General features: G+C 38.3%; 1 protein-coding gene across 1 annotated transcript in view; it reads left to right on the top strand.

Annotated features, from left to right (window-relative positions):
* Positions 1-12354, top strand: part of CACNA2D3 (calcium voltage-gated channel auxiliary subunit alpha2delta 3) — a 952006-nt gene that overhangs the window by 373862 nt on the left and 565790 nt on the right. The window contains exon 5 of the mRNA NM_018398.3: positions 7079-7241. Coding sequence (NP_060868.2) covers positions 7079-7241 — 163 coding nt within the window. The remainder of the gene's footprint in view (positions 1-7078; positions 7242-12354) is intronic.

Here is a 12354-nt window from a genome sequence, read left to right on the forward strand (position 1 = left end):
ACACATGTTGGTCTGCGGATTGACCATTCACATACCTTCTTTTGTAAAGTGTCTGTTCAAATCTTTTGCCCATATTTTGATTAATATTTTCAGTTGAGCTACAGGAGTTGTTTACATATTTAGGGCACAGGTCATTTTTCAGATGTGTGTATTACGAATACTTTTTCCTGAACCGTGGCTTTCATTTTTGTTTTATTACTGGTGAATTTGATGACCAGAAGTTTTGAATTTTCATAAATTCCAAATTATCCATTTTTAAAATGTAAGTGCCTTCTGTAGCCTAAGAAATCAACGCCTACCTGGAGGCCATAAAGTATCCTTTACTTTTTTCCTAGAAATATTACAGATTTAGTTTTTACATTTAAGTCTGTCATCCATCTCAAATTCATATGTGTATGATGTGAGTTAGGGGTTGAGAATGTAGTTTTTAGTCATTTGCTTCAGCACAGTTTGTTGAAAATACTGTCCTCACTGAATTACCTAAGCACCTTTATTTGATGTCAATTGACCATATATGTGCAGCTTTATTTCTGCACTCTCCGTTTCATGATCTGTTTGTCTATTCTAATGCTTATACCATACTGCTTTGATTAATTTGATTTAGAGGAAGGCCCAAAATCAGAAAATGTGAGTCCTTGGGCTTTTTTCTTCTTTTTAAAAATTGTTTTGAAAATTGAGGTCTCTTTTACTTATATGTAAAATTTTAAATCAGCTTTTCAATTTATATTAAAAATGCTTATATATTTTGATTGGGAGTTCATTGAATTTGTAGATCACTTTGGGAAGAACTTGCGTCATAAAATAGAATTCTCCAATTTTTGAGCAAGCTATCTCTCTCCATTTATATAAGTCTTCTTTAAGTTCAAACAAATATTTGTGGTTTTTAGTACTTTGTAGTATACAGGCATTGCACATAGTTTAATATACACCTATTATAGTTTAATTGATACCTGTTTTATTCTATGCTATCATAAATGCTATTATTTTCCAGTTCAATTTCCAACTGTTTTGTGTTAGTATATTGAAATAAAATGGATTTTGTGTATTTATTTTGTATTCTGTGATCTTGTTAACTCTCTTTAAGTTATATTATGTGAATTCCTTAGGATTTTCTATATAGACAAAATCTATGTAGAAAAGTAAAGGTAGATTTTTTCCCTTTTCAATACCTATGGCTTTTGTTTATTTATTTGTCTTACAGTATTTGCCAGGACCACCTTTACAGTATTGAACAGAAGTGGTAAGACAACCTTGCCTTATTCCTGATCTTAGGGGGAAAACATTCAGTGCTTCTTCATCAATATAATGTCAGATACATGTTTTTTTGTAAATCCTTTTCATTAGGTTGAAGATATTTTTCCTTATTTCAAATTTCCTGAGGGTTTTTATGATGAACAAAAATTGAATTCTATCACATGCTTTTTCTTTATCTATTTGATGTTATGATTTTCCTTCTTTGTTCTGTTGATGTGGTGAATTATGTTGATTAATCAAATATTAAACCAACCTTGAATTCCTGGGATTAATACAGTTTGGTCGTGATGTATTATCCCTTTATTTATAGGTGGATTTGATTTAAAATTTTGTTAAGATTTTTGTATCTAGGCTTATGAGGGATATTGGCATATAGTTTTTTTTTTTTTTAAAGTTCTTGTTTGGTGTCAAGGTTAGGCTACCCTCATTAAATTAGATAGGAAGTATTTTCTCCTCTAATTTTCCTAAAGAGTCTATATAAGATTGTTTGTATTTTTTTCTCATATATTTGATAGAATCCATCAGTTAAGGCATATGAACCTAGAGTTGTTTGTTTGTTTTATCATGGCTATTAACAGTGAAATCAATATCTTTTGTATTTCTAGGGCCAGTTATATTTTGTATTTCTTCTTGTGTCCATTTTGATAATTTCTGTTTCCCAAGGAGTTTGACATTTAACCTAAGTTATTGAACTTATTGGCATAAAGTTGTTTGTAATATTCCCTTATCCTTTCATTATCTGTAGGATCTGGAGTAATGTTTCCTCTTTCATCCCAGATACTGGTATTTTCTGCTTTCTTACTTTTTTTCTTAATCAGTCTAACTAGAATTTCATAATTTTGTTAATTATATTAACCAAATTTTGGTATTATTGATTTTTTCCTGTTACTTGTTTTGTTTTAAATTTCTGTACTTATCTCTATTACTTTATTCCTTCTTTTAACATTGAGTTTCATTTATTCATCTTTTTAATACCTTGTTAAGGTAGAATCTTAAGGTAGACTATTTATCTTGAAATTTTTTTCTTCTATATTATAAGCTTTTAAATGTGTAACTTCTTCTCTAAGCTCTGCTTTCGTTGCATCTCACAAATATTGATATGTTGTTTTCATTATGATTAATTTCAAAATATTTTCCAATTTCCCATGTCATTTTTTTCCTTGACATATGTATTATTAATAAGTATTTTGTTTAATATCCAAATCTTTAGTCTATTTGCAGGTATCATCTTTTATTAAAATCTAGATATCAATGATATTTTTCATATCAATATCATACATTGATTTCTAAATTTAGCTCATTATTATCAGAGAACATAGTATGTGGATTTCAGTCATTTTAAATGTATTGAGACTTGTTTGATGGCCCAGTATATGATCTAGAAAAGAATGTGTGCTCTTCAGTTGTTAGGTATGGAGTTCTATAAATGTTAACTAGGTTAAGTTTGAAAGTAGTATTGCTACAGGACCAACCCCCAATAAAAATCCTGAATGCTGAGTCTCTGTTAGACACCACTTCCAATGTATTATTACAACTCATTAATAGAAGAATTAAGTATAATCTCTGTGATTGCACTGGGGCAGAACTCTTGGAAGGTTGCACCTGGATTCCTTGGGACTTTGCCTCATGTACCCCTTCCCTTTGTTAATTTTTATTTGGATCTTTGTACTATAATTTTAAAAAGAACAAATTTTTGGTTTCATTGATACTACTGATTTTCTGTTTTTAATTTCATTGATTTCTGCTTTGCAGAATAAAAAATATACATTTTTTCTGCTTACTTTAGATTTAATATGCTCTTCTTTTTCTAGTTTTCTAAAGTAGAAGCTTAGATGATTGCTTCTAGATCTTCTTTTCTCTTCTGATACATGTGTTCAGTGCTATAAATTTCCTTGTAAGCTTTGCTTTTGCTACATCCCACACCTTTTGATAGGCTGTGTTTTCATTTTAATTTTTAAAAAAATTATCTTGAGAATTCTTTTAAAAGTATGTTGTCTAATCTCCAAATATTTTGGGATTTTTTTCAGCTATCTTTTTTGTTATTGATTTCCAGTTTAATTTCATTGTGGTCTGAGAGCAGACACCGTATGATTTCCATTCTTTTAAGTTTGTGAAGATGTGTTTTAGGGCCCCTGATGTGGTCTATCTTGAATGTTCCAAGCAAGCATCTTTACATGCTTAAGAAGAATGTGTATTCTTCTCTTTATGGATGAAGTATTCTATAAATGTAAATTAGATCCAATTGATGGTATTGTTCATTTCAACTGTATTCTTACCAGTACTTTGCCTCCTGAGTCTGTCAGTTACTGATACAGGGGCATTTAAGTCTTTAACTATAATAGCTAGTTCATCTGTTTCTCCTTGCAGTTCTATCAGTCTTTGTTTCATGTATTTTAACGCTGTGCTGTTAGATGCATACTACATTAAGGATTGCTTTGTCTTCTTAGAGAATTAACCTCTTTATCATTAAGTAATGCCTGCCTATCTTATTCCTTGATAATTTTCCCTGCTCTGAAGTCTGTTTTGCCTGAAATTAAACCAACTACCCTCACTTTCTTTTGATTAATGTTAGCATGGTATATCTTCTTCATCCCTTTACTTTTAATATATCTGTGTCTTTATGTTTAAAGTGGGCTTCTTATGGACAAAATATAGTTAGGTCTTGTATTTTAATCTACTCTGCCAGCCTCTGTCTTTTGATTGATGTATTTATTCCATGCTCATTCAAGGTGATTATTGATATAGTTGGATTTATATGTACCATATTTGTAACAGTTTTCTATTCACTACCCCAGGTCCGTCCATCTTCCTTCCTTCCTATCTTCCTTCCTTCCTATCTTCCTTCCTTCCTTCCTTCCTTCCTTCCTTCCTTCCTTCCTTCCTTCCTTTCTCTCTCTTTCTTTTCTTTTCATTCCTTTCTTTCTTTCTCTTTTTCTTTCCTTATTTCTTTCTTTTTTTCTTCTACTCTTTTTCTGCCTTCTCTAGTTTTAATTGAACATGTTATGTGACTTAATTTTCTCTCCTCTCTTAGCATATAAATTATGCTTCCTTTTACAGTTATTTTAGTAGTTGCCTTAAAGTTTGCTGTATGCATTTACAACTAATTTAAGTCCACTTCAAATAACCTTACACTACTTCATCTGTAGTGCAGGTATCTTATAACTGAGTGTCTTGGCCATTTGTGCTGCTACAACAGAATACCTGAGACTTTATAAATTCTTCTTAATTTATAAAGAAAAGAAATTTATTTTCTCACAGTTCTGGAGGCTGGAAAGCCCAAGATCAAGGTGCTGGCATGTTTAGTGTGTGGTGTAGGCTGCTCTGCTTCCAATATGATGCACTGATACTGTATCCTCTTGAAGGGAAGAGTGTTGTTTCCTCACCTGGTAGAAGATAGAATGGAAAAAGGGACAGACTTTCTCTGTCAATCCCTGTTATAAGGACATCTAATCCCATTCATGAGGGAGGAGCCCTCATGGCCTATTCATCTCTTAATGACCACACCACTTATTACTGTCACATTGGAACACCTAAAATTTGGAGGGAACACATTCAAATCATAGCACAGAGTATTCCACATTCCTCCCTCCGGTTTCTTATAACACTGCTATTATTCATTTCACTTATCCATAGACAGTAATTTATTACTATTATTATTTTGAACAAGCTGTTATATGTTAGATTAGTTAAGAATAACAAAATATTTTATGTACCTTCATTTATTCTTGCTCTAACACTATTTTTTTTTTTTTTTGGTAAGACAGGGTCTCACTCTGTCACCCAGGCTAGAGTACATTGGCACAATCATGACTCACTGCAGCCTCAACCTCCCAGGCTCTGGTGATCCTCCTCGTTCAGCCTCCTAAGTAGCTGGGACTACAGGCGGGTGCTGCTGCAACCGACTAATTTGCCTGACTAATTTTTTTTTTTTTTGTAGAGACAGAGTTTCACCATGTTGCCTAGGGTGGTCTTGAACTCCTGGGCTCAAGCAATCCTCCTGCCTTGGTTTCCCAAAGTTCTGGGATTACAAGTGTGAGCCACTGTGCCTGGCCAAACATTCTTCCTGTCTTAATGCAGATGAGAATTTCTAAACTATATCATTTTGCTTCTCTCTTAAGAACTTTTAACAATTCTTGCAAGGCAAGTCTACTGGCAACAGATTCCTTCATTTTTGTTTGCCTGAGAAGGTCTTTATTTCTCCTTTACTTGTGAAGGGTAATTTCATGGGATACAGAATTCTAGGTTGATGGTTCTTTCTTTGAACACTTTTTAAGTGGTTCACTCCATTCTCTTCTTGCCTGGATGGCTTCTGAAGAGAAGTCTGATGTAATCCTTATCCCTGTTCCCCTACAGGTAAGATTCTCCCACCCTCTTTCTGGTTTCTTTCAAGATTTTCTCTTTTTCTTTGATTTTATACAGTTTGAATATGATATGTGTAGATGTAAATCTTCGTAATATTCATTGTGTTCAGTGTTCTCTCAACTTCCTTGATCTGTAGCTTGATTTTTGTCATTAATTTTGGAAAATACTCAGCCATTATTATTTCAAATATTTCAGTTTCCATTCTTCTCAGTCTGGTGTCCCATTACACATATGTTACACGTTTTGTGATTATCTCACAATTCTTGGATATTCTGTTCCCTTTCTATTTTCTCTTCTTTTTGCATTTCTTTTTGGGGAGTTTCTTTTGACACATCTTCATCCTCTGCAATTATTTCCTTGGCTGTGTTCAGTCTACTAATGAACCAGCAAAGGTATTCTTCATTTCTGTTACAATGTTTTTGATTTCTAGCATTTCACATTGATTCTTTCATAGAATATCCACCTCTCTGCTTATATTACCCATCTGTTCTTACATGTCCGCTTTTTCCATTAGCCTCTAGAGCATATTAATTGTAGTTATTTTAAGGTTCTGCTCTGTTAATTCCACCCACACCTGCCATTGGCCATCTGATACAGTAGATTTAAGGACAGACTCAAGATAGATGGCCTGTATTTGAATTCTGGCTTTCCTTATCAGCTGTGTAATTTTTTGCAGGATGCATACATTCTCTATTCCTAAGTGTCCTCATTTGTGAAGTAGGAATACTCATAAAATCCACCTCATAACATTGTTAGGAGAATCAGATGAGTTAACACATGAAAAGCACTTAGAGTGATTTCTGACACAAAGTAAGCCTTCTGTATATGTGAGATGATGATATAGCCATTTGTAAATCATGCCAGCACACTCCCATCTGAGGGCTTTTCCCTTGCTGTTCTTTCTCGGATGTTTCCCTGATGCCCACACCACTGGATTTCTCCCCTCATTTAATCTCTATTTGAGTGTTGCCATCGCAGTGAGACCTTCTCAAACACCATGTATAAACACACAGTCCTTCTGAAGCTGCTAATCCCTTTACCCTGCTGTATTATTTTTCCATAGCAAGCATGATGATCTGACGTATATTTGCCTGTTATTTTTTGCTGATTTTCAGCCTCCTTCAACTTAATATAGGCTACATAAAGTCAGGGTCTCTCTTCAAAATTTAAAGAATTAAAATGTTTCTAGGGCAGTTTTCTCTATATGCACATAAGAAAGTACTGCGTTGCCCCTTAACATTTATGTTTTCTGGGAGTATTTAGTGACATTGGAAACTATTTATATAATGCTATCTCACCCATGCAAAAGCAGCCATGGACAGTACATAAGACATAAAAAGATTATGTGAGCAGATCAGGGTCCACAGTGTAAGGGATGGCACATGGCCTGTGCCCAGGTCTAAGTGAGTTCACAGCCCTCTTCCCTAAGCCACATGTAATGTTTTTTGACTTTGTCTTTCAGTATGAATACTTCAATGCTGTGCTGATAAATGAAAGGGACAAAGACGGGAATTTTTTGGAGCTGGGAAAGGAATTCATCTTAGCCCCAAATGACCATTTTAATAATTTGCCTGTGAACATCAGTCTAAGTGACGTCCAAGTACCAACGAACATGTACAACAAAGGTAAGACTCCCAGCCACTGCTCCTTTTAGAAGGTGAAGAATCAGGGGGTTGAGAAGCAGGGGCTGGCTGGTTTGGGATATAGTTTTGGTTTGTTTCATTTTTTTTGAAAAGCACAGTTATAAGCTGAGTGTGTCAGGTATCAACTGGATAGGTGAAGCATGTACCTGTTCTGCCTGGAGCTTCTGGGCTTGCTGTTTCTCTGGCTGGTTGTTTACATCAGGCTCTCTAACATGTAGAATAGGGGTTGGCAGTTTCTATAAAGGACCAGATAGTAAATATCTTAGGCTTTGCCAGCCATAGAGTCTCTGTTGCAACTACTCACTTCTGCTGTTCAGGCACAAAAGCAGCCAAATGGCTGTGTTCCAGTGAAATTTATCTACAAAAAGAGATGGCTGGATGTAACCTGCAGGCTGTAGTCTTCTGACCCCTGATGTGGTACCTTTGTTTTCTTCTTCCAGTTTGTGGAATGGCATTTAAGGGCTGGAGAGCTCCTAGGGGTGCAATGGAAACAGCTGGGGTCTTTTCTTAGAGTATAAAGCAGCATGGACCTTAACAGAATTCCTTATTTCCAGGCTTGTGTGCCTCAAATCCAGTCTTCACATAAACTCTAGAGTTTATTTTTCCCTAAGTTCCCATCTGCCAATTCCAGTTGGAATTATAGTGGCCAAGGACTGGGCTCTGACATCGGATGGATTCTGGTCAGACCGTGTTCTACTTCTTTCTGGCTGTGACCTTGGGCACGTCACCTCATCTTTTTAGGTCTGAATTTTCTCATCTTATGATGTGAATAATAATCATATCTACCTCCTGGGGGTGGTTTTGAGGGCTAAATGGAATGATGTTTATAAAGGGTTTAAGTTGTTTTCAGCATCTTTATCCTATTGCTATCGAGTAGTAGTTTGCTCTGCTTGGTCATACCTAAAAAACTTCTAAACAAAGAACTATCCTCCTAGAAAAATAAGCCAGAAAGTCATGGAATCTTCAAAGTAAAAAATGTGCCACATTGTCTCCCATCAAGGTTTCAAAGATATCAGGGGCCAGTTTCCAAATCATATACAAGAGCTCAGTAGTCAAGAGCAAGGGCTATGGGTTTAAGTCCTGATCTTCCTCTTGTAGGCTGTGTGATCTTAAGCAAGCAACTTTGCCTTTCTGAGGCTCAGTTTCCCTATTTGTGAAATAGGGATAATGATGCTGCCTCCGTCAGAGGGTTAGTGAGAGGATATGAAATGATGTGTGTGTAGCCCTTAATACAACAGTACCATACAGAAAGTGCGCAGTGCATTTTAGCTGCCGTTGTTTTTATTGGAAAATAACGTGAATACAAATTGCACTTCTGAAATGTTCTAAGTCACTATTTAAGGGGCTTGGTCAGTGATTAAAGATATTCCAACTAACTGTCTCTGAAACATTTTTCTTACGCGTGTTGGATATTAGGTATAGTTGGATACCTAATGTCTCTTTTTCCTGGTTTACCTGTTATCCATCCTTAAGAGTCAGTGGAGGCAGTACCCCATTCATTAACTGTTCTGATAGTTACTGGGGATTCCGAGGTGAATCAGATGCAGCCCCTCCCTCAAGAGGTTCACAGTTCATATAGGGAACAGATAATGAGATAATTAGAACACCATGTATCACATATTGGCCACAGTGTGGACAGCCAGGGGACAGTGGGAGTGCCAAGGATGGGACCTGTCTACTTCTTCACATGGGCAGGGCCACAGTTCATCTTTTTTTCTTTTTTCCTCTTAGAGAAAGTGATGTGAATCTAAACAAATCCTAGAGGGCTCTGGACTGGGCCATATCCTCTACCCTACTCTTTACTTTGGGCTCTTCCTTAGAAACAAATGGAACCAAGACATAGAGGGCTGAGCTCAGCTTCATTTAGTGGAGTTTAGTTCTCTAGAATGATCCTGTCAGCAGATGAAATCCTAAATGAAACTGCCCCTTTTTGTGCGATGTGGCCAAAAGAAAGCCATCTTCTTGGCATTCAATATATTCCCAACTGAAGATGAAAAATTAACATGATTTTACAGAGCAATTTCAGACATAAAACAATTCAGAATGATCTTTTAAAATATGACAGCTGCTTCAAGGTTTCTTGAGCCATTAACACCATTATAGAGATTTAATTGCACCTCTAGCTTTAAAGGCATAATTGTGCCTTTTAATGGTAGTAACACGTAAGGGACCCACACCACCACTGATCACCCAGGCTATAGAATCATGCTTGTAATGATTCCTAGACAGAATCTTCAGAGATAGTCAGATTTTTTGAGCCGTTGGATGTAGCTAATGATATTCAAAGTCATCCTCAGCAGCCCTCCTGGGATCTGCCCATCACCTCTGCCCAGTCCATTGTCACCCAGCCAGGCTGTGGGGCATGGACCAGGGTCAGCCAGGTGTTCTGTCTTGTCTCAGCCAGGCAGTGAATCACTGCCCAAGGGCAGAGGAGAGGCAGGGACTTCAGGCAAATTCCTGTCTCCACTCTACCTAATTCAAAACAGCCCCTAACAGCCTTTTTTTTTTGTTTTCCTTTTCAAGCTGCAGGAATATATTTTATGTTTAGAAGGCCCTCCAGCTCAGATCTAGTTATTGATGACGTACTCAAAACAAATGCTCAGAGATTGGTCACTGGCTGTGCTGTTTTTGGGTTGGAAATCTTACCCCCAGCGAAGAAAACCAATACAAGGTCATTCTCTCCTAGCTGCTTGGACTTCTGTGGGCATATACCAAAGTGGTTTGATACTTGCCTAGGAGCTTCTGTGATCTATGTTCTGGGGTATAATTTTTAGTTCTAGATGAAACTAGCTGGTAAACTCTACCTGCTTTCTACAATCTGCTTTCTGCCTCCGTGGGCGGGCCTGGCAACTGGGCTGCTCAGCCGGGTTTGTGCTTTCCTCTCTGGCTGAGGTGCCTTTCTCTTGAGCACTGAAAGAGACTGCAGCTTCAAAGTTGGTGATGTGGGCAAGCTGTGCCCATGGGAACTCAAAGAGGCATATTCATTGAGTGTTTAGAAATGCATCTCAGGGCCCTCAGGTTGCCTGATGCAGCAGCTTTTTTCATGAAACTCCTTCAGCAGATGTTTGCTGAGTGGCTGCTCTGGCATCCCCAGCTTGTGAGTCTTACTATTTCGGAGACTTTGAAGATGAATGGCTGATACCTTTAGAGCCGTAAATGACTCCATATCCTCTATGAGTAAAGCAAGAGGCAGGATGCTTTTGCAAGAACTGCTGATGATCTGGCAGAGAATTCAGATAAAGCTGAACTCTTTTAAGGACTTTCTCAACTGAAGTGCTGTAAAGTTTATACGTATATATACACATTATATATACACACATATATATATACATACACACACATATACAGTACATATACACATACACCTTATATGTATGTGCATGTTTCTGTCTATGGGCAGGTCTGTTCATGTGTGTTTGTAAATATGTGAATGTGTGTGAAAGAAAATGCTGTGCTCTCAACCTATTCCTTCATTTCCATTTTCCACCTCTGTCCACCCGGGTGAGACCCTGCTTTTGTTCACTGAACACACCTTCCTTTTTCTTCCATTGTAGTGTATTTCACTGTTTTTATTCCTATTATCCCTGTCCCTCCTTTCCTGCTTGTCCTAATGCCTATTCTTAGAAACCAGCTCAAATATAACCTCCTTGATTCTTTTTGTCTTGTGTGATGGAAGTGACTTTTGTTTATTCCTCTGCTCTAGCATTGCTCTGTTCTGTGAATGCAGAGCATGCAGTCTTTCCTTCTCTACTTTAGGTTCTCTGAGGGCAGAGGACCCTGCAGATGCAGCCTTGTGCCCCCTTTACCCCTGCCCATGCTCTTTACAGATGAGTTTTTCCCAGATGTTGGTTGGTGTGGAAGACACTGACACCTGTGCCTCCTGGGCTATGAGATGTCATCCAGGGCTGTGGTGTTTTCATGGTTCTTATAAGCAACAGAAACAGAACCTGGCTGATAGCAAAGAAACTTTTTGAGAGGAGACTGGGTGGCCCACAGACTCTTCAGGAAAGCTAAAGAATAAGGCCTGGAAATGTCTGGGAATGGAGGGAGGCTGGGGCCAGAGTCACACCCAGAGTCACACCCAGATCCAACCTGACAAGGACCCACTGACCCCAGGGTTGCCCTACTCTCACATCTGTAACTGCATACAATACCTGTGCCTCGTTTTCCTCATCCCTAAGCTGGAGATGACAATCATAGTGAGTTGCCTCGGGGGATGTGCTGAGGATTGAACACTTAGAGGGGTGGATGGCACATGGTGTCCATCCAGGACTCAAGTGCTGTGGTCTGAATGTTTGTGTCCTTCCAAAATTTGTATGTTGAAACCTAATCACCCAGGTGATGGCATTAAAAGGGGAGCCTTTAGCAGGTGAGTAGGTACTGTAACTCCAAGACTGAGGGAGCTTGTTGTCCAAGGGGGCTGTGGAGTGGGGCAAGTTGGGCAGATCCCAGCCAAAGTGGCAGCAGCAGTGGGAACAACTGCTCCTTTGTGGAAGTCAGAAAGGCAGTTATGGAGCCTGGAAGGGCTGGCCAGGTGGTGAGAGGCTGTGGGAGCCATCAGGAGGTCATGAACATGATGGTGACAGGTGAAATATGGCTGACAGCTTTGCCAGGAAGAGAGCCACTGAAGAATACTAGTTCCCACTCACACTGAAGAAGAGGGAGAGGGAGGAGGTGTTCAGGGCCTGGTTTGGAGAAAATCCAGAGAAGAACAGCACATGGGCCAAGACTGGATGGATAAGGTGAGAGCCCTTGGGCCTGGGGCCCTAGAGAGCAAGCTCCAGTGAGCATATCAGCCCCATGAAGGCGGGAACCCCAGCAGGATACCCAGCACATGGTAGATGCTCAATAAATACTTATTGCAAGGTAAGGGAATGAATATAGATTACAATCAAAACACTGTTTTCACTTTGTTCTTGCACAGAGGAAGAAAAAACATAGGAAGTAACCCAATCTCAATTCCTCTTCTTCCCCCAGTAACGGAGGACATCCGGGAGAGGTAGGCTGAAGTGGCAGAGGTGAAGGGGAGGTGTGAATTGCAGGACACAGGCTAGACCACGCTTTCATCCTCTAGACTTCCCCAGCAGGGCACCCA

This window comes from Homo sapiens, chromosome 3, assembly GCF_000001405.40.
Source record: "Homo sapiens chromosome 3, GRCh38.p14 Primary Assembly".
NCBI lineage: Eukaryota > Metazoa > Chordata > Mammalia > Primates > Hominidae > Homo > Homo sapiens.